The sequence below is a fragment of the Homo sapiens genome, chromosome 12 (genome assembly GCF_000001405.40).
Source record: "Homo sapiens chromosome 12, GRCh38.p14 Primary Assembly".
NCBI classification, from domain to species: Eukaryota; Metazoa; Chordata; class Mammalia; order Primates; family Hominidae; genus Homo; species Homo sapiens.
The window spans coordinates 53,344,848-53,367,558 of NC_000012.12; the positions used below are offsets into that span (position 1 = coordinate 53,344,848).

General features: G+C 49.7%; 3 annotated features.

The window, feature by feature from the left end:
* Positions 15-184: a silencer, noted in NCBI's record as "silent region_4505". NCBI's record gives its function as "represses an Ori minimal core promoter by ATAC-STARR-seq in GM12878 lymphoblastoid cells {active_cell/tissue: GM12878}" and the evidence as "EXISTENCE:reporter gene assay evidence [ECO:0000049][PMID:35858748]".
* Positions 575-634: a silencer, noted in NCBI's record as "silent region_4506". NCBI's record gives its function as "represses an Ori minimal core promoter by ATAC-STARR-seq in GM12878 lymphoblastoid cells {active_cell/tissue: GM12878}" and the evidence as "EXISTENCE:reporter gene assay evidence [ECO:0000049][PMID:35858748]".
* Positions 7,910-7,969: a silencer, noted in NCBI's record as "silent region_4507". NCBI's record gives its function as "represses an Ori minimal core promoter by ATAC-STARR-seq in GM12878 lymphoblastoid cells {active_cell/tissue: GM12878}" and the evidence as "EXISTENCE:reporter gene assay evidence [ECO:0000049][PMID:35858748]".

Genomic DNA, 22,711 nt, shown 5'->3' on the forward strand with positions numbered 1-22,711 from the left:
CGGCCGGGCCAGGCGCCCGGGCAGGAGGCAGCTGCATATCTGCGGTCCCGACCACAATTGCTGGGAGTCGCGTCCCGGAGACTGGCGGCGCTGACTCTGCCCGCTGCGGCCGCCGCGCCGATTAGAGCCCGAGAGGGAGCGCCAGCCCGGGGGAGGGGGCGGCGGCGGGGGAACTCCGGATGCCCCTTCGCCTCCGCCCAGCCAGCGCCCCCCGCTGCCCGGCCCAGTCCTTTCTCAGCCGCCCGAACCCAGGACCGGAGTCCTGCCTCTTCCGCCGTAGCTTTCTCGAGGCTGCATCCAAGCTTCTTCCTCCGGATCTTGCAGTGCCCGAGGTCCCGACGGTGCCAACATCCCGTTGGCCCCCAGCCTGCCAGTCTCTCATGCCCTTTCTCTTCCCCATCACCCCACACAGAGAGGAGTAGGGATCTCAGAGCTCCCCCATTCTCTTATCCTCCGCTCCCCAATGCACTCTCTAAGCAAAAGCCGTTCCAAGCGAAGAAGAGAATCAGAGACTCAGAGGACGGGCTTTCCAGGGCCGGAGCACCCCCTGCTGGCTGGCCCGAAGCCCCTCCCCCTCCCCCTCCAGCTGTGACCTCCAGCTGTGGTGGCTGGGAAGAGCTGGCCCCTTTGATCTAGGAGCGTGGCAACCCCCTCCAGGCGCCCCATTAACCTCCATTATCCCAATTAGGCAGCCCTCCCAGTCCTGGATCCAAGCTTCAAAGCCCCCTCAGTTGGGAGAAAAGGGAGCTGAATCGTATGCCCCCTACCTCCCCACCAAGCCACACCACTTTCAGACAAGACCCAGGTGCTCTGGTCTCCAGCTTGTGTACATGATAGCAGGGCCAGAAGAGGGACCCTCAGGGGCCACCCTCGTCCCAATACTGAAACTTCATTAAAAAGAGAAGCAGATAGGCAAGGGGACCCTCTTTTGCTGGCCCATTTTCCTGCATTCAGTGATTTCAGTGGCAGCATCCAGGTTCCTGGCTGACCTGAGCTTCCCATCAACTTATCCAGCTTTATCCTGTGGAAAGGGGAGCCAAGAACCAACCCACTCCTCCCTTAATCCTATCTCAACACTCCCTTCCTCCCTCCCTCCTGGAACAATTTCCGCTGGGGGAGCCAGAGCAGGGCCCAGCACAGTGGCCGCTTCCTGGAACATTTTCCTGTATCCGAAACCGCGGCTCCCTCCCTAGGGACCGGCTGATCAAGGCCAGATGGGAGAAGGGATGGGGGAGGAGGAGAGGGAGCCAGGCTCTCACCATCACCCCCTCCCAACACATAGGCACACCACAGGAGCCCCTGCCCTGACACACAGAGGCTGACACAGGCACACACCACATGTCATAGTCACACCATGGGCATTCATGGGGACACATGAACCACAGAGGCCAGGTCTTAGAAGAAGTTAACACACCCGTAGATGATCACCCTCTCTCTCTACCTGGCCCTCTAAAGGACCCTAAGGCCTTTCTTGCCAGATAAGGAGACCTTAGGAATCCAAGAACATTGGCACAGGATAGCAGAAGGACCTCAATTAACAGAGGAGACAGACAGAGACATCTAATGTGCCCTGCCAGACAACACCCACCAACCATCCCATTCCAATTCTAGATGGCACTCAGGCCTGCCTAACCCATCATCTCTCCAGGATCCTGGGAACTGGGGTAGAGGAAGGCTGTGGGAGCTTCTTCTCAAGTGCTACCTTCAGAGCACTTTCTAGTTGCTTCCAGATTCTTGGAGAAGATGCATATGATGTCTAGTGGGCTCGCTCATGGCAGCCAAGGGACAAAGAAAGGGGAAGAATGTGTGCAGCTGCAGGGAGCTCTGGGAGCCTAGAGGAGGAAGGAGAACACCAGAGTAACTCCTGGAGACAGAGAGTAACCCTGGGGATTTTGTGGCCTTACTGGTGACATACTGCCCCAGCACTGCTCCTCCTGATCTCTTCTATCTCAGTCTTGGTGATTGAGAAGAAGAGGGTAGGGATTATGCCCCCAGCTTAGCCCATTCTTCAACCATATTATCTTCTGCCCATCACATTTCCAGTACAACACCCTACTTTTTTTTTTTTTTAGACGGAGTCTTGCTCTGTCACCCAGGCTGGAGTGCAGTGGCATGATCTCAGCTCACTGCAACCTCTGCCTCCTGGGTTCAAGCGATCCTCCTACCTCAGCCTCCCGAGTAGGTGGGACTACAGGCGTGCGCCACCACTCCTGGCTAATTTTTGTATTTTTAGTAGAGATGGGGTTTCACTATGTTGGCCAGGCTGGTGTCGAACTCCTGACCTCAGGTTATCCACCCACCTTGGCCTCCCAAAGTGCTGGGATTACAGGTGTGAGCCACCACGCCTGGCCCTGAAGACCCTAATTTTTTTTTTTTTTAGACGGAGTCTCGCTCTGTCGCCCAGGCTGGAGTGCAGTGGCACGATCTTGGCTCACTGCAAGATCCGCCTCCCGGGTTCACACCATTCTCCTGCCTCAGCCTCCCGAGTAGCTGGGACTACAGGCGCCCGCCAGCAGGCCCGGCTAATTTTTTGTATTTGTATTATTATTTTTATTATTTATTTATTTTTTGAGACGGAGTCTCGCTCTGTCACCCAGGCTGGAGTGCAGTGGCACGATCTCGGCTCACTGCAAGCTCCACCTCCCAGGTTCATGCCATTCTCCTGCCTCAGCCTCCCGAGTAGCTGGGACTACAGGCGCCCACCACCACTCCTGGCTAATTTTTTTTTTTGTATTTTTACCAGAGACGGGGTTTCACCATGTTAACCAGGATGGTCTCCATCTCCTGACCTTGTGATCTGCCCGCCTGGGCCTCCCAAGTGCTGGGATTACAGGTCTGAGCCACCACGACCGGCCTGAAGACCCTAATTTTTACATCCCTCATTTGTCTTTTGCTAGAAAGGGCACAGATTTGTGCATGGATACACTATGGGACAGAACTATGGAAAAGCTGAGGATGGAGATACATAGTCTTCTCTTTCCTGGAACATATTACTGGTTTAGGGAAATATTTGAAATTGGAAAGTTCCAGAAAATCTGGGATGCATGGTTACCACAAACGGATGAGGGACTGACTATATAATCATAAGAACCAAAGCTAATCAGGATGGCCAAAAGTCCTTGTGTTCTTTCTTCAGTTTTGTGGCCCAGTTAGAAGGTATATCTTCCTTTCCCAAGCTCACCTGGGGTGGCAACACGTCAAGCCATCTTTACTCACATATTTAATGGTTTGCCTCCAACTATCCAGAAGTTATTTATTTATTTATTTATTTATTTATATTTTTATAGAGACAGGGTCTCCCTATGTTCTCCAGCTGGTCTTGAACTCCTGGGCTCAAGCCATCCTCCCACCTCGGCCTCCCAAAGTGCTGGGATTACAAGCATAACCCACCATGCCTTGCCCAGAAGTCCTTTATGTGGTATAACCATCATCGTCTATCTTCCTTTTAGCTTGTAACTTTTTGCTCTAGCTCCAATACAAAAGACTAATTCGTCAATTTGGTAGTCAATGGCATTTATTGAGTGGCCTCTTGGGTGAAACACTGTAGAGAAAATGCTGTATACAACCCTCAGTCCTTGCTCTTTAGGAATTTAGTAGTGTGGTTAGGGAAAAGAGATACAGGAGAAAACTAGGGGCCAGGCACAATGGCTCCCGCCTGTAATCCCAGCACTTTGGAAAGCCAAGTTGGGCAGATTACCTGAGGTCAGGAGTTTGAGACCAGCCTGGCCAACATGGTGAAACCCCATCTCTACTAAAAACACAAAATAATTAGCCAGGCTTGGTGGTGAGTGCCTGTAATCCCAGCTACTCAGGAGCCTGAGGCAGGACACTTGCTTGAACTCAGGAAGCAGAGGTTGAAGTGAGCCAAGATCACGCCATTGCACTCCAGCCTCCAGCCTGGATGACAAGAGAAAGACTCCGTCTCAAACACACACACACACACACACACACACACACACACACACACACACAAAAAGAAAGAAAGAAAAGAAAAAAGAAAAAACTAGGGACCATATTTGAAGGCATAGATGACTCACTTTACTTCTCAATGCCTCTATTTCCTCATTCAAAAATGAAGGAATTTGCCGGGCATGGTGGCATGTACGTGTAATCCCAGCTACTCAGGAGGTTGAGTTACGAGGATGGCTTGAGGCCAGGAGTTCTAGACCAGCCTGTACAACATGACATTTTTTTTTTTTTTGAGACAGATCACCCAGGCTGGGGTGCAGTGGCGCAATCTTAGCTTACTGCAATCTCTGAGAAGGCCATCTCTTAAAAAAAAAAAAAAGAAATAGTAATTTGGCTATGTCTAATTGAGAACCACTAGTCTCCATGATCTCTAAGGTCCCTTTCTGATTTACCGCAGGAATGAATGGAATTAGTTAATAAAGAACACCTCGGCCGGGCACGGTGGCTGACGCCTGTAATCCCAGCACTTTGGGAGGCCGAGGCGGGCAGATGACCTGAGGTCAGGAGTTCGAGAACAGCCTCAACATGGAGAAACCCCGTCTCTACTAAAAATACAAAATTAGCCGGGCATGGTGGTGCATGCCTGTAATCCCAGCTACTCGGGAGGCTGAGGCAGGAGAATTGCTTGAACCTGGGAGGTGGAGGTTGTGGTGAGCCGAGATCCTGCCATTGCACTCCAGCCTGGGCAACAAGAGCGAAACTCCATCTCAAAAAAAAAAAAAAAAAAAAAAAAAAAAAAAAAAAGAACACATTAGGCCAGGTGTGGTGGCTCACGGCTGTAATCCCAGCACTTTAGGAGGCCGAGGTGGGTGGATCACCTGAGGTCAGAAGTTCGAGACCAGCCTGGCCAACATAGTGAAACCCTGTCTCTAATAAAAATACAAAAATTATTCAGGCATGTTAGCACACACCTGTAGTCCCAGCTACTCAAGAGGCTGAGGTAGGCCGGGTGCGGTGGCTCATGCCTTTAATCCCAGCGCTTTGGGAGGCCAAGACGGGCGGATCACGAGGTCAGGAGATCGAGACCATCCTGGCTAACATGGTGAAATACTGTCTCTACTAAAAAAAATAAAAAAAATTAGCCGGGCGTGGTGATGGGCACCTGTAGTCCCAGCTACTAGGGAGGCTGAGGCAGGAGAATGGCGTGAACCCAGGAGGCAGAGCTTGCAGTGAGCGGAGATGGCTCCACTGCACTCCAGCCTGGGAGACAGAGCAAGCCTCCGTCTCAAAAAAAAAAAGAGGCTGAGGCAGGAGAATCGCTCGAACCCAGGAGGCGAAGGGTGCAGTGAGCCAAGATTGCACCGCTGCACTCCAGCCTGGGTGACACAGTAAGACTCTGTCTTAAAAAATAAAAATAGGGCTGGGCGCGGTGGCTCATGCCTGTAATCCCAGCACTTTAGGAGGCCGAGACGGGCGGATCATGAGGTCAGGAGATCGAGACCATCCTGGCTAACACAGTGAAGCCCTGTCTGTACTAAAAATACAAAAAAATTAGCCAGGCATGGCAGTGGGCGCCTGTAGTCCCAGCTACTCGGGAGGCTGAGGCAGGAGAATGGCGTGAACCCGGGAGGCGGGGCTTGCAGTGAGCCGAGATTGCGCCACTGCACTCCCAGTCTGGGCAACAGAGCGAGACTCCGTTTCAAAATAAATAAATAAATAAAAATAAAAATAGGCCAGGCACGGTGGCTCAGGCCTATGATCCCAGCACTTTGGGAGGCCCAGGCGAGCGGATCACTTGAGGTCAGGAGTTCGAGACCAGCCTGGCCAACATGGTGAAACCCCATCTCTACCAAAAGTACAAAAATTAGCCAGGCTTGGTGGTGAGCACCTGTAATCCCAGCTACTCAGGAGGCTGAGGCAGGAGAATTGTTTGAACCCAGGAGGTGAAGATTGCAGTGAGCCCAGATCGCACCACTGCACTCCAGCCTGGGTGACAAGAGTGATACTCCATCTCAAAATAAATACATAAATAAATAAATTAAATAAAAAGAACACATTAATATGTTAAACAAGAAAAATCAATCAGGCGTGATGGCTCATGCCTGTAATCCCAGCACTTCAGGAGGCTGAGGCAGGTGGATCACCTGAGGTCAGGAGTTCGAGACCAGCCCGGCCAACATTGCAAAACCCCATCTCTACTAAAAACACAAAAATTAGCTGGGCATGGTGGCAGGCACCTGTAATCCCAGCTAATCTTCTCAAGGAGAATCGCTTGAACCTGGGAGGCAGAGGTTGCAGTGAGCTGAGATCACACCACTGCACTCCAGCCTGGGGGATAGAGCGAGACTCCATCTCCAAAAAAAATAAATAAATAAAAGAAAAGAAAAATCATATCATCAATTCAATGGATGCTAAGAAGACATTTGACAAAAGTCAAGATGGCTATTCTTAATGAAACTCATTTAAAAAAACAGTATTCAACAAATGAGAGAGATTACCATTTTAGGATCCTTCTTTGAAGGTGAAATATGTTTTATTTTATTTTCTTTTTTTTTTGAGACGGAGTTTCACTCTTTTTGCCCAGGCTGGAGTGCAATGGCGTGATCTCGGCTCACCACAACCTCCACCTCCTGGGTTCAAGCGATTCTTCTGCCTCAGCCTCCTGAGTAGCTGGGATTACAGGCATGTGCCACCACGCCTGGCTAATTTTGTATTTTTAGTAGAGATGGGGTTTCTCCATGTAGGTCAGGCTGGACTCAAACTCCCGACCTCAGGTGATTCACCCGCCTCGGCCTCCCAAAGCGTTGGGATTACAGGCGTGAGCCACGTCGCCCAGCCTGAAATGTGTTTTCTTAGAGTTGGTGGGAGCGAGGGATAAGAAGGTGGGCAGGGAGGCCGGGCGCGGTGGTTCACGCCTGTAATCCCAGCAGTTTGGGAGGCCGAGGCGGGCGGATCACGAGGTCAGGAGATCGAGACCATCCTGGCTAACACGGAGAAACCCCGTCTCTACTAAAAGTACAAAAAAATTAGCCGGGTGTGGTGGCGGGCGCCTGTAGTCCCAGCGACCCGGGAGGCTGAGGCAGGAGAATGGCGTGAACCCAGGAGGCGGAGCTTGCAGTGGGTGGGGGCCTGATTCTTTTTTTTTTTTTTTTTTTTTGAGACGGAGTCTCTCTCTGTCGCCCAGGCTGGAGTGCAGTGGCGGAATCTCTGCCAACTGCAAATTCCGCCTCCCGGGTTCAAGCAATTCTCCTGCCTCAGCCTCCCGAGTAGCTGGGACTACAGCGGTGCGCCACCACGCCCAGCTAATTTTTGTATTTTTTTTAGTAGAGATGAGGTTTCACCATGTTGGCCAGGATGGTCTCGATTTCTTGACCTCGTGATACGCCCGCCTCGGCCTCCCAAAATGCTGAGATTACAGGCATGAGCCATCGCGCCCGGCCCTTTTTTGTTTTGTTTTGTTTTTCTTTGAGAGGGAGTTTTGCTCTCGTTGCCCAGGCTGGAATGCAGTAGCACCATCTCAGCTCACTGCAACCTCCACCTCCCGGGTTCAAGCTATTCTCCTGCCTCAGCCTCCTGAATAGCTGAGATGACAGGCGCGCGCCACCATGCCCAGCTAATTTTTTTCCGTATTTTTAGTAGAGACGTGGGTTTCGCCATGTTGGTCTCGAACTCTTGGCCTCAGATGATCCGCCCGCCTCGGGCTCCCAAAGTGCTGGGATTACAATCGTGAGCCACCGCGCCGGGACAGCTTTTTGTATTGTTTCTGTCTTGAAGCCCTCATGGTAGAGGTGCGCACCACAATCTTTTCCGAGCTTAGGATCTTTAAGGGTCTTAACTCTATCCAATTCAGCATATTGGAAAACAGGAATGTCAAGGCGTGCTGCAAATGAGAAAGGATTCCACAAAAAGAAAACCCTCAGGGGAAAGGGCAGTGTGCAAAGAGCTTCTTCTACTCTTTTCTAGACAAGACCTTCCCTTGGGTCCACTGCCCTGGAGAATAAGAAAGGCTTGTTACTACCACCAGGTGGCAGAAGTGAGCCGCTCAACAACACCTATCACGGACTGCTTGGGGCTCATGGCTGGAGACAGAGTTTTGGTACCTTTTTTGCAGGGGACAGTGGCAGAGTTGTCAGCGCTTGAGGCAAGGGCTGAGGTGGGAAAAAGTCTCAGAGTTATGGTACTTATTCTATCGTTCCCTACAGTCTTGGTACAGAGAGGGCAAACACAAGGTATCCTGACTCCTAGTTAGAGTTCAGCAAGTGCTGGTCTATTTCTTGCCCCACTAGCCTACCTGATTGCTTTTCACAGACATTTCCTAAGCATTTACTGTGTGCCAGGTATGTGCTAGAAGTGTACAATATAACATTTAACAAGAAGTGTGCAACCTAGTGGAAGAGAGCTTGGTAAACACTACACTTGTATGATACTGAGAGGCAGTTTGAGTAGTGCTTAAGTACACTCCCTTGGAAGTCAGAGTAGGGTGTGAATTAAAGTGCCAACGCTTGCTAGTTGCGCTATCTATCTGAGCCTCAGTCTCCTTGTGTATAAAATGGGGGTAGAAGACCTTCATAGTAGACTAAGATGATATATAAAAATTCACTGCGTAAGGAGAAATACATAAAGGTCATTGCCTGCCACATGGCAGTTATTACAAAGGCCAATGCTGAGGTAGCAGTCCCCAGCTCAGTCTTGAGGAGACTTCCCAGAGAAGGGAACCACAGTGTAGAACTGTGAAGGATGAGTCCGGGCGTGGTGGCTCACACCTGTAATCCCAACACTTTTAGAGGCCAAGGTGGGCGGATTGTTTGAGGTCTGGAGTTTGAGACCAGCCTGATCAACATGGAGAAACCCCATCTCTGCTAAAACCACAAAATTAGGCTAGGCATGGTGGCTCATGCCTGTAATCCCAGCACGTTGGGAGGCTGAGGTGGGTGGATTGCCTGAGGTCAGGAGTTCGAGACCATCCTGGCTAACATGGTAAAACCCCGTCTCTACTAAAAATACAAAAATTGGCCGGATGTGGTGCCTCACGCCTGTAATCCCGGCACTTTGGGAGGCCGAGGCGGGGTGGATCACGAGGTCAAGAAATCGAGACCATCCTGGCCAACATGATAAAACCCCTTCTCTACTAAAAATACAAAAATTAGCTGGGTGTGGTGGCGCGCACCGGTAGTCCCAGCTACTCGGGAGGCTGAGGCAGGAGAATCTCTTGAACCAGGGAGGCAGAGGATGCAGTGAGCCGAGATCGCGCCACTGCACTCCAGCCTGGGCAACAGAGCAAGACTCTGTCTCCAAAAAAAAAATAAGAAGAAATACAAAATTAGCTGGGCGTGGTGGTGCATGCCTGTAATTGCACCTACTTGGGAGACTGAGGCAGGAGAATCTCTGGAACCAGGGAGGCGGAGGGTGCGGTGAGCTGCGATTGTGCCATTGCACTCCAGCCTGGGTAACAAGAGCGAAACTCCATCTCAAAAAAAAAGAACTGTGAAGGATGAATGGCAGATGCATACAGTACGGTGGGGAAAAGGTGGCAGTAGGGGAAAGTGGGCCAGGAGGAGTAAGACAGACAATCTCTGGAGAACATGAATGTACACGCCCTGCTTCACCAGCACAGGGACAGGACAGGCCCAGCTTCCCACAGTGGAGGCTAGCATGGTCTGGATTCTCTCCTCAAATCAACATGCATTTGGTGAATACCTGTCAGGAACTTCTTTCAAGAGTTATAAGAGTTGGCCGGGCACAATGGCTCATGCTTGTAATCCCAGCATTTTTGGGAGGCTGAGGGGGCAGATTACCTGAGGTCAGGAGTTCGAGACCAGCCTGACCAACATGGTAAAACCCCATCTCTACTAAAAATACAAAATTAGCTAGGTATGATGGCACACGACTGTAATCCCAGCTACTCGGGAGGCTGAGGCAGGAGGATCACTTGAACCCGGGGTGCAGAGGTTGCAGTGAGCCGAGATTGCACCATTGCTCTCCAGCCTGGGCAACAAGACCAAAACTCTGTCTCAGAAAAAAAAAAAAAAAAAAAAAAAGTTATAAGAGTTAATGAAGATAAGGCTGGGCGCAGTGGCTCATGCCTATAATGCCTCTGCTTTGGGAGGCCGAGGTAGGTGGATCACCTGAGGTCAGGAGTTTAAGACCAGCCTGGCCAACAAGATGAAACCCCCGTTTCTACTAAAAACATAGAAAAAATTAGCTGGGCATGGTGGCACGTGCCTGTAATCCCAGCTACTCGGGAGGCTGAGGCAGGAGAATCGCTTGAACCCAGGAGGCGGAGGTTGCAGTGAGCCGAGATCGCGGCACTGCACTCCAGCCTGGGCAACAAGAGCAAAAACTCCGTCTCAAAAAGAAAAAAAAAGAGTTAATGAAGATAAATAAAGAGCCGGGAGCTAAGCACAGTGGTGCACACCTATAGTCCCAGCTACTCTGGAGGCAGAGGCAGGGGGAGACCTTGGGCCCAGGAGTTCAAACATGCAGTGATCTATGATAATGTCATTGCACTCCAGCCTGGGTGACAGAGCAAGATGGATGGAAGGAAGCGAGGGAGGGAGGAAGGCAGGAAGGAAGGCAGTGGGGAGGGAGGGAGAAAGGAAGGAAAATAAAAGAAAAGAAAAAACAAAAGAAGAAACAAAAGAAAAGAAGGGCTGGATGTACTGGCACATGCCTATAGTCCCACAGGAGGGTCGCTGGAGTCCAGTTTGAGCCCAGTTCCAGATCAGCTACATGATGAGACCTTTTTTTTTTTTTTTTTTTTGAGATGGGGTCTCATTCTGTCACTGAGGGTGGAGTACAATGGCGTAATCTTGACTCACTGCAACCTCTGCCTCCCAGGCTCAAACAGTCCTCCTACCTCAGCCTCCTGAGTAGCTGAGATCACAGGCGAGCACCACAACACCCGGCTAATTTTTTTGTATTTTTGGTAGAGACTGGGTTTCGCCATGTTGCCCAGGCTAGTCTTAAACTCCTAAACCCAGGTGGTCCACCCACCTCAGCCGCCCAAAGTGCTGGGATTACAGGCGTGAATCACTGCGCCCAATGAGACCCTGTCTTAAGAAAAAAGAAAGAAGAAAAAAAGAGGCTGGGCACAGTGACTCATGCCTGTAATCCCAGCACTTTGGGAGGCTGAGGCGGGTGGATTGCTTGAGTCCAGGAGTTCCAGACCAGCCTTGGCCTCTGGAAGGCTTTGTGAAACCACACCTCAGGTAAAAATACACACAGACACACAAAATTAGCCAGGCGTGATGGCATCCACCTGTAGTCCCAGCTACTTGGGAAGCTTGAGGTGGGAGAGTCACCTGAGCTTGGGGAGACAGTTTGCAGTGAGCTGCCGTCCTACCACTGCACTCAAGGTCTAATCTTTGTTCTCAGAAAGCCCACAGAAACTTAAAAGAAGAAAAAGAAATGAAGAGTTATTGAAAGATGTGGAGTAAGGAGGTGAAATGACCAGGCTTTTATATTAGAATCTTCACCATGAGAAAGTATTACACAGAACTATAAGGTAACATGTTTGAGAATATTCATGACAGCTTTCTGGTTCAAGAAGCTAGTTCTTGGCCAGGCGTGGTGGCTTCACACCAGTAATCTCAGCACTTTCGGAGGCTGAGGTGGGTGGATCACCTGAGGACAGGAGTTTGAGACCAGCCTGGCCAACATGGTGAAACACCATCTCTACTAAAAATATAAAAACTAGCCGGGCTTGGTGGTGGGTGCCTGTAATCCCAGCTACTTGGGAAGCTGAGGCAGGAGAACTGCTTGAACCCAGGAGATGGAGGTTGCAGTGAGCCAACACGGTGCCACTGAACTCCAGCCTGGGCAACAGAGTAAGACTATGTCTCAAAAAGTAATAATAATAATAAAAAAGTTAAAAAGAAGCTAGTTCTCCATCTTGCAGGGAATACTATGCATAAGTTAGAAGTGATAAACTAGGCCATGTGCAGTGGCTCACACCTGCAATTCTAGCATTCCAGCACTTTGGGAGGCTGAGGCAGGAGGATTGCTTGAAGCCAGTAGTTAGAGACCAGCCTGCTCAACATAGCAGGACCCCATCTCTACGATAAAAAATAAAATAAATGGGCCGGGCGCAGTGGCTCATGACTGTAATCCCAGCACTTTGGGAGGCTGAGGGAGGCAGATCACCTGAGGTCAGGAGTTTGAGACCAGCCTGGCCAACATGGCGAAACCCCATCTCTACTAAAAATACAAAAATCAGCCGGGTGTGGTGATGGGTGCCTGTAATCCCAGCTACTTGGGAGGCTGAGACAGGAGAATCGCTTGAACCTGGGAGGTGGAGGTTGCAATGAGCCGAGATCGTGCCATTACACTCCAGCCTGGGCGAGAAGAGCAAGATGCCGTCTCAAAAAAACAAAAAACAAAAAACAAAAACAAAAACAAACAAACAAATAAAATAAATGAAGTGATAAACTAGATATACCTGTAGAAACATGTATAAATCTTTTTTTTGCTGGATGAAACTTTTTTTTTTGAGACGGAGTCAAGTCTTGCTCTGTCACAAGGCTGGAGTGCAGTGGCGCGATCTCAGCTCACTGCAACCTCCACCTCCCGGGTTCAAGTTATTCTCCTACCTCAGCCTCTCGAGTAGCTGGGACTATAGGCAGCATGTGCCACCACGCCCAGCTGATTTTTGTATTTTTAGTAGAGACAAGGTTTCACCATGTTAGCCAGGATGGTCTCAATCTCTTGACCTCATGATCGGCCCCCCTCAGCCTCCCAAAGTGCTGGGATTACAGGCATGAGCCCCAACAACCAACTGAAACACTTTATTTTATTTTTAATTTAATTTAATTTTTATTTTTGTATTTTTAGTAGAGAAGGGGTTTCACCATGGTCTCGATCTCCTGACCTCGTGATCCGCCCGCCTCAGCCTCCCAAAGTGCTGGGATTACAAGGGTAAGCCACTGCGCCTGGCCTTTATTTTTATTTTTTTGAGACGGAGTCTCACTCTGTCACCCAGGCTGGAATACGGTGGCCCAATCTCAGCTCACTGCAAGCTCCGCCTCCCGGGTTCACGCCATTCTCCTGCCTCAGCCTCCCAAGTAGCTGGGACTACAGGCATCAGCCACCTCGCCCCTCTAATGACCAGCATTAAAACAGAGATCTTGGCCAGGCACAGTGGTTCACGCACGTAATCCCAGCACTTTGGGAGGCCGAGGCGGGTGGATCACCTGAGGTCAGGAGTTGGAGACCAGCCTGACCAAGATGGAGAAACCCTGTCTCTACTAAAAATATAAAATTAGCCGGGTGAGGTGGCACATGCCTGTAATCTCAGCTACTCGGCAGGTTGAGGCAGGAGAATTGCTGGAACCTGGGAGACGGAGGTTGTGTAGGCCAGGCACAGTGGCTCACGCCTATAATCCCATCACTTTGGGAGGCTGAGGCAGGCAGATCACCTGAGGTCAGGAGTTCAAGACCAGCCTGGCCAACATGGTGACCCCATTCTCTACAAAAATACAAAAATTAGCCAGGCATGATGGCAGGTGCCTGTAATCCCAGCTACATGGGTGGCTGAGGCAGGAGAATCACGTGAACCCGGGAGACAGAGGCTGCCTCGAGCCGAGATCAAGCCATTGTACTCTAGCCTGAGTGACAAAGTGAGACTCTGTCTCAAAAAACAGAAAAAGGCAGGGCGTGGTGGTTCACGCCTGTTTAATCCCAGCACTTTGGGAGGCCGAGGTGGGTGAATTACCTGAGGTCGGGAGTTCAAGACTAGCCTGACCAACATGGAGAAACCCTGTCTCTACTAAAAATATAAAATTAGCCACGTGAGGTGGTACATGCCTGTAATCCCAGCTACTCGGCCGCTTGAGGCAGGAGAATCGCTTGAACCCGGGAGGCGGAGGTTGCGGTGAGCCAAGATCATGCCACTGCACTCCAGCCTGGGCAACAAGAGCGAAACTCCGTCAAAAAAAAAAAAAAATTAGCTGTGTGTGGTGTCACCTGCCTATGGTCCCAGCTACTGGGGAGGCTGAGGCAGGAAGATCACTTGAGTCTGGGAGGTTGAGGCTGCAGTGAATCATGATTGCACCACTGCACTCCAGCCTGGGCGACAGAGCAAGACCGTCTCAAAAAAAGAAAGAAACATTTAACAGGGACTTACAAACAGAAGCCCTGTTTGTATCTCTGGCAGTGGTGAGACAAGACAGTGTATCCCTGTGCCATTAATCTCCAGATCCAGAATTTATATACCATAGGGAAGGAATGTGTAGGACAATTGAAGTCGACCTCTATGGGAAAGGCAAGAATGTTCTGTGAATCTGCCTAAGGGCAAGATTCATGGTCAAGGTGGTCTTGACCTAAGGGCAGGATTTATGATAAGTATATGCTCTTACCCAAAGATCAGTAGATAAAATAAAAATTTTAGAGGCATTCCTGGAGCTGGGGTTATTCAGAAGTCAACATAGCAGATTAACATCCAAGATGGAGTTGCTTCAGCCTCCATTCTGTAAAACTCTAGAAAAAAATAAATCTAGGGGCCAGGCACAGTGGCTCATGCCTATAATCCCAGCACTTTGGTAGGCCGAGGCGGGTGGATCATGATGTAAAGAGATTGAGACCATCCTGGACTCCATCTCAATTAAAAAAAAAAAAAAATTAGCTGAGCGTGGTGGCAGGCAACAAGAACAAAACTCCTGTCAAAAAACAAAACAAAACAACAACAACACCTGCAGCGTGTGTAGAATTTAAAAAAAGACAATCCATAGGGAGAAAATATTTGTCATATTTTAAACAAATAATTAATATCTAATACACATAACAAGCTTCTTTAAGTCAAACAATGCAATACAAAAATATAGCCTGAGCCAGGCGCGGTGGCTCACGCCTGTAATTCCAGCATTTTGGGAGGCCGAGGTCGGTTGATCACTTGAGGTTGGTAGTTCAAGACCAGCCTGACCAACATGGAGAAACCCTGTCTCTACTAAAAAATATAAAATTAGACGGGCATGGTGGCACATGCCTCTAATCCCAGATGCTCGGGAGGCTGAGGCAGGAGAATCACTTGAACCTGTGAGGCAGAGGTTGCTGAGCCGAGATTGCACCATTGCACTCCAGCCTGGGCAACAAGAGTGAAACTCCATCTCAAAAAAAAAAATGTAGGCTGAGCACAGACCCTGTCTCTACAAAAAATAAAAACAGTTGGCTGGGCACTCGCAGTGGCTCATGTCTGTAATCTCAGCACTTTGGGAGGCCAAGGCAGAAATATCATGAGTCCAGGAGTTTGAGTCCAGCTTGGGCAACGTATTGGGACTCCATCTCTAGAAAAAATTTTAAAAATTAGCTGGGTGTGGTAGTCTGCGCCTGTAGTCCCAGCTACTTAGGAAGTTGAGAGAGAAAGATCACTTGAGCCCAGGAGGTGGAGGCTGCAGTGAACCATGACTGTACCACTGCATTCCAGCCTGGATGACACCTAAGACCCTGTCTCAAAAATTTATTTTAAGGTTGGGCAAGGTGGCTTATGCCTATAATCCCAGCACGTTGGGAGGCCAAGGCAGGAGGATCCCTTCAGCCCAGGAGTTCAAAACCAGCCTGGAAAACATAGTGGGACCTTTTCTCTACAAAAAAAAAAAAATTAGCCTGGTATGGTGACAGGCACCCATGGTCCCAGCTACTTGGGAGGCTGAGGCAAGAGGATTGCTTGAGCCCAGGAGGTGGAGGCTGCAATGAGCTGAGATCCCGTGACTGCACTCCAGGCTGGGTGACAGTGAGACCGTATCTCAAAAACAAAAACAAACAAATTATTTATTTTTGTTTGTTTTTGTTTTTATTTATTTTTTGTTTTGTTTCTGTTTTAAGACAAAAGCCCTGTCGCCCATGCTAAAGTACAGTGGTACAATCTGGGCTCACTGCAACCTCTGTCTCCCAAATTCAAGCGACCCTCCCACATCAGCCTCTGGAGTGGCTTGGGACTTCAGGTGTGCAGCACCATGCCCAGTTAAAAAAAAAAATTTCTTTTTAATAAAAATAAAAATATGGCCGGGCTCAGTGGCTCATGTTTGTAAGCATAGCACTTTGGAAGGCCAAGGCAGGTGGAATGATTGAGCCCAGGAGTTCAAGACCAGCCTGGTAACATGGCAAAACCTCTTCTCTACAAAAAATACCGATGATTGAGCCACTGCACTCCAGCCTGGGCGACAGAGTGAGACCCTGTCACAGAAATAACTGAAATTCACGCCTGTAATCCCAGCACTTTGGGAGGTCGAGGCGGGCGGATCATGAGGTCAAGAGATCAAGATCATCCTGGCCAACATGGTGAAACCCCGTCTCTCCTAAAAATACAAAAATTAGCTGGGCATGGTGGTGCACGCCTGTAATCCCAGCTACTTGGGAGGCTGAGGCAGGAGAATTGCTTGAACCCGGGAGGTGGAGATTGCAGTGAGCCAAGATCATGCCACTACATTCCAACCTGGTGACAGAGCAAGACTCTGTTTCAAAAAGAAAAAAAAAAAGAAAAGAATTTGTTGGGCACGGGGGCTCATGCCTATAATCCCAGCACTTTGGGAGGCCGTCCAGGCAGATCACAAGGTCAGGAGTTTGAGACCAGCCTGGCCAATATGGTAAAACCCCGTCTCTACTAAAAATACAAAAATTAGCCAGGTGTGGTGGTGAGCGCCTGTAGTCCCAGCTACTCGGGAGTCTGAGGCAGAAGAATCACTTGAACCCGGGACGGGGAGGTTGCAGTGAGGCGAGATCATGCCACTGCACTCCAGCCTGGGCAACAGAGCTAGACATTGTCTTAAAAAAATAAATAAATAGGCTGGGTGTGGTGGCTCATGCCTGTAATCCCAGCACTTTGGGAGGCCAAGGCGGGCGGATCACAAGGTCAAGAGATTGAGACCATCCTGGCCAATGTGGTGAAACCCCGTCTCTACTAAAAACACAAAAATTAGCTGGGCATGGTGGCACACGCCTATAGTCCCAGCTACTCAGGAGGTTGAAGCAGGAGAATCACTTGAACCCAGGAGGCGGAGATTGCAGTGAGCCGAGATCACATCACTGCACTCCAGCCTGGCGACAGAGCGAGACTCCATCTCAAAATAAATAAATAAATAAATAAATAAATAAATAAATAAATAAGCTTGGATGTGAACCTTGACCTGTGGCTCCACCACCCAGATTCACTTCACTCCACTGTGTGTTTTTTATTTTTTTATTTTTTTGAGACGGAGTCTCACTCTGTCGCCAGGTTGGAGTGCAGTGGCACGATCTCAGCTCACTGAAACCTCCACCTCCCATGTTCAATCGATTCTCTTGCCTCAGCCTCCCAAGTAGCTGGGATTACAGGTACCCACCACCACTCCCAGCTAATTTTTGTATTTTTAATGGAGATGGGGTTTCGCTATGTTGGCCAGGCTGGTCTCGAACTCCTGACCTCAGGTGATCCACCCACCTCGGCCTCTCAAAGTGCTGGGATTACAGGCATAAGCCACCTTGTCAAGCCTCCACTGTGTGTATAAAGGTACAGACTAGTAAGTGCAACAAAGTGTTAACAGCTGCATGCTTAAAGACAGTAGAGGTTGCAATGGGGGCTCCTGGAGTAGTGTGGCCAATTCAAAAAGAAAAGGGATGTTTTTGGAAAGGACTCCAGAGCTGAAGCTTAATCTAAGACTTGAAAGGTGAGTTCTTCCCAGCACTTTGGGAGGCTGAGGTGGGCAGATCACCTGAGGTCGGGAGTTCGAGACTAGCCTGACCAACATGGAGAAACCCCGTCTCTACTAAAAATACAAAATTTATCAGCCGGGTGCAGTGGCTTACGCCTGTAATCCCAGCACTTTGGGAGGCTGAGGTGGGTGGATCACGAGGTCAGAAGATCGAGAATATCCTGGCTAACCGATGAAACCCCGTCTCTACTAAAAATACAAAAAAATTAGCCGGGTATGGTGGCAGGTGCCTGTAGTCCCAGCTACTCGGGAGGCTGAGGCAGGAGAATGGCACGAACCCAGGAGGTGGAGCTTGCAGTGAGCTGAGATCGCGCCACTGCACTCCAGCCTGGGCTACAGAGCGAAACTCCACCTCAAAGAAAAAAAAAAAAAGAAAAAAAAAAGGTGAGTTCTTGACCTACAGGAGAAGGGCACTCCAGAAGGGCAACCTGTGTGTGTATCAGTGCAATGTCACAGAGGAAGGTACTTGGTCTTTTTTTTTTTTTTTTAAGAGATGGAGTCTCACTCTGTTGCCAGGCTCGAGTGCAGTGGTGCTATCTCAGCTCACTGCAACCTCTGCCTTTCGGGTTCAAGCAATTCCCCTGCCTCAGCCTCCCGAGTAGCTGGGACTACAGGTGTGTACCACCATGCCCGGCTAATTTTTTGTATATTTAGTAGAGACAGGGTTTCACCATGTTGGCCAGGATGGTCTCGACCTCCTGACTTCATGATCCACCCGCCTTGGCCTCTCAAAGTGCTAGGATTACAGGCGTGAGCCACCGCACCCGGCTGGCACTTGGCCTATTTTGTGACTGATAAGTAGTTGAGTGGGCATGACTAAGAATTCTTCTCACACCTCTAGGTGACAGGTAGGGCCTGGAAAGACTTTTATTTTTATTTATTTATTTTTGAGACCAGAGTCTTGCTCTGTTGCCCAGGCTGGAGCGCAGTGGTGCAATCTCAGCTCACTGCAACCTCCGCCTCCCAGGTTCAAGCAATTCTCCTGCCTCGGCCTCCTGAGTAGCTGGGACTACAGGTTCCTGCCACCACGCCTGGCTAATTTTTGTATTTTTAGTAGAGACGGGGTTTCACCATATTGGCTAGGCTGGTCTCAAACTCTTGACCTTGTGATCTGCCTGCCTCAGCCTCCCAAAGTGCTGGGATTACAGGCGTGAGCCACGGCACCCAGCCAAAAGATTTTATTTGTTTGTTTGTTTGTTTGTTTTGTTTTGAAGACAGAGTCTAGCTCTATCCCCCAGGGTGGAGTGCAGTGGCACAATCTCACCTCACTGCAACCACCGCCCCCTGGGTTCAAGGGATTCTCCTGCCTCAGCCTCCCCAGTAGCTGGGATTACAGGCACCCGCCACCACGCCCGGCTAATTTTTGTATTTTTAGCAGAGACAGGGTTTCACCATGTTGACTGGGCTGGTCTCGAACTCCTGACCTCAAGTGATCTGCCCGCCCTGGTCTCACAAAGTGTTGGGATTACAGGTGTCAGCCACTGCACCCGATCTTGATTTCATGTATACCATATGATGAAGTCTATGTTCAGGTGTTCAGTAAGAGTCCCTGAGGCCACAATATGGTGCCTATTTTGATGAAGATCAACCGGGAGACAAGGAATCTGTTAAATGCATGTATAGTAGCAATGCAAGTAAGCAATGAGGGGGTTGGGGCTTGTGGATAACTAAAGCAGTGACTAGAGGTACGGAGAGAGTGGAAGAGTTGGGTCTGAAAGATATTCGTGGAATAAAATGGATGGAACTTTTTTTTCTTTTCTCTTTTTTTTTTTTTTGAGACGGAGTCTCACTCTGTCACCCAGGCTGGAGTGCAGTGGCACGATCTTGGCTCACTGCAAGCTCTGCCTCCCGGGTTCCTGCCATTCTCCTGCCTCAGCCTCCCGAATAGCTGGGACTACAGGTGCCTGCCACCACACCCAGCTAATTTTTTTTTTTTTTTTTAAGACAGAGTCTCAGTCTGTCACCCAGGCTTGAGTGCAGTGGCGTGATCTCAGCTGACTGCAACCTCTGCTGCCCAGGTTCAAGCAATTCTCCTGCCTCAGTCTCCTGAGTAGCTGAGATTACGGGCAACTGCCACTGCATCCGGCTCATTTTTGTATTTTTAGTAGAGATGGGGTTTTACCATATTGGTCAGGCTAGTCTTGAACTCCTGACCTCATGATCCACCCGCCTCGGCCTCCCAAATTGCTGGGATTACAGGCGTGAGCCACCGCGCCCGGCCGCCGGCTAAATTTTTTGTATTTTTAGTAGAGACAGGGTTTCACTGCATTAGCCAGGATGGTCTCGATCTGACCTTGTGATCCGCCTGCCTCGGCCTCCCAAAGTGCTGGGATTACAGGCATGAGCCACTGCGCCTGGCCTCCTTTTTCTTTTTTAGACAAAGTCTCACTCACTGTTGCCCAGGCTGGAGTGCAGGGGCGCCATCTCAGCTCACTGCAACCTCCACCTCCCCGTTCAGCGATTCTCCTGCCTCAGCCTCCTGAGTAGCTGGAACTACGGGCACATGCCACCACGCCTTGCTAATTTTTGTATTTTTATTATGGACAAGGTTTCACCATGTTGCCCAGGCTAGTCTCTAACCCCTTGGCTCAAGTGATCTGCCTGCCTTGGCCTCTCAAAGTGCTGGAATTACAGGCATGAGCCACCACGCCCAGCCTTCTTTTATTTTATTATTTTGTTTTATTTTAAATTGATGAGATTTGATGACTAATTACATATCAAATCTCATTCCATATCCCCTGTGACAGGGGATGATGAAAGTTTGAGAGGGAGAGAGTAGAAGTTTGTTGGGGAGTAAACTAGACAGAAGTTCCCTGAAAAAGGGATAACTTGTGTATGTATGTCCTTCATTGCAAGTAGGACAGTATATTATAATAACCTGTGTATGCATCTGCTTCCTCTAGCAGGCCATGAGTCAGGGCCATATCTCATCCCCCTCATCTTTCCCAGTGTCTAGCACACTGTCTTGCACACAGCATGTTCAACACTGATGAAAGAACATCAGTAAAGAGTGGCCTTAGTCTGGGGTGGGAGTAAGAAGAGCAGAGAATGGTGGGGGTGTAAATAATCACACGAGTTGGAAGATAGGAAGTTCTCCAGGCTACTCCCTCCCTCCTCAGCCTTAGTCAAAAGTCTGACCCATGGAGGATTGCTCAATTTTCTCTGAGTCCTTTCCTTCTCTGGACTAGCCACACAGTGTGATAGATGCTGATTAGCTGGGACATGGATGTCTTCAGTATGAGGGAGAAGGTCTCACCCAAATTCTACTACTACTGCCCAGAAACCATCCTATTTTTTTTTTTTTTTTTTTTTTTTGAGATGTAGTTTCACCATTGTTGCCCAGGCTGGAGTGCAATGGCACAATCTCGGCTCACCGCAACCTCTGCCTCCCGGGTTCAAGTGATTCTCCTGCCTCAGCCTCCTGTGTAGCTGGGATTACAGGTGCCTGACACCATGCCCAGCTAACTTTTTGTGTTTTTAGTAGAGGCGGGGTGTCACCATGTTGGTCAGGCTGGTTTCAAACTCCTGACCTCAGATGATTCACCTGCCTTGGCCTCCCAAAGTGCTGGGATTACAGGCGTGAGCCACCGCGCCCAGGCCAGAAACTGATTCTAAAAAGGCACTGTGTGGGAGAAGCTCGGACTTCTACTTCCCTTCTCTAAACCACTAAGCCTTGAGATATATGGCAAAAGGTGACATGTCCTTGGCCCTGTGCCACAGGCTCATTTGGCAAGGGGAAAAGAGAAAAAAGCAGCTGAGAAAGTGCTGAACTCCAGCAAAAAGGAAAGGAGGCCATGGGCCTGAGGCTTGTGATGTGAAAGGAGAAAGGAGCCAGTGGGGATTTGTACTGTTACGATTATTATTATTTAATTTAAAAATTCTGGGCCGGGCACGGTGGCTCACGCTTGTAATCCCAGCACTTTGGGAGGCCGAAGCAGGTGGATCACGAGGTCAGGAGATCCAGACCATCCTGGCTAACACGTTGAAACCCGGTCTCTACAAAAAATACAAAAAATTAGCCGGGCGCGACGGCGGGCGCCTGTAGTCCCAGCTACTCCGGAGGCTGAGGCAGGAGAATGGCGTGAACCCGGGAGGCGGAGCTTGCAGTGAGCCGAGATCACGCCACTGCACTCCAGCCTGGGCTAAAGAGAGAGATTCCGTCTCAAAAAAAAAAAAAAATTTGGCTAGGCGTGGTGGCTCAGACCTGTAATCCCAGCACTTTGGGAGGCTGAGGCAGAAAGATGGCTTGAGCCCAGGAGTGCATGGCTGTAGTGAGCTATGATCATGACACTGCACTCTGGCCTGGGTGACAGAACGAGACTGTCTTAAAAATTTTTTTAAATGGGTTGGGCGCGGTAGCCGACGCCTGTAATCCTAGCACTCTGGGAGGCCGAGGCTGGCAGATTGCCTGCGCTCAGGAGTTCAAAACCAGCCTGGGCAACACAGTGAAACCCTATCTCTACTAAAATACAAAAAATTAGCCGGGCGTGGTGGCATGCACATGTAGTCCCAGCTACTAGGGAGGCTGAGGCACGAGAATTGCTTGAACCCAGGAGATGGAGGTTGCAGTGAGCTGAGATCGTGCCACTGCACTCCAGCCTGGGCGACAGAGCAAGACTCATCTCCAAAAAAAGAAAAAAAAAATTGAAAATGGCTGGGTGCAATAGCTCATACCTGTAATCCCAGTACTTTGGGAGGCTGAGGTGGGCGGATTACCTGAGGTCAGGAGTTTGAGACAAGCCTGGTCAACATGGTGAAACCCTATCTCTACAAAAAAATACAAAAATTCACCCAGCATGGTGGTACGCACCTGTAGTTCCAGCTACTCAGGAAGCTGAGGTAGGAGAATGCCTTGAACCTGTGAGGTAGAGGTTGCAGTGAACCGAGATGGTGCCACTGCACTCCAGCCTGGGTGACAGAGTGAAACTCTGCCTCAAAAAATAAAAATTAAGGCCAGGCGCAGTGGCTCACGCCTGTAATCCCAGCACTTTGGGAGGCTGAGGTGGGCGGATCACCTGAGGTCAGGAGTTCGAGACCAGCCTCAACATGGAGAAACCCCCATCTCTAGTAAAAATACAAAATTAGCCGGGCGTGGTGGTGCATGCCTGTAATCCCAGCTACTC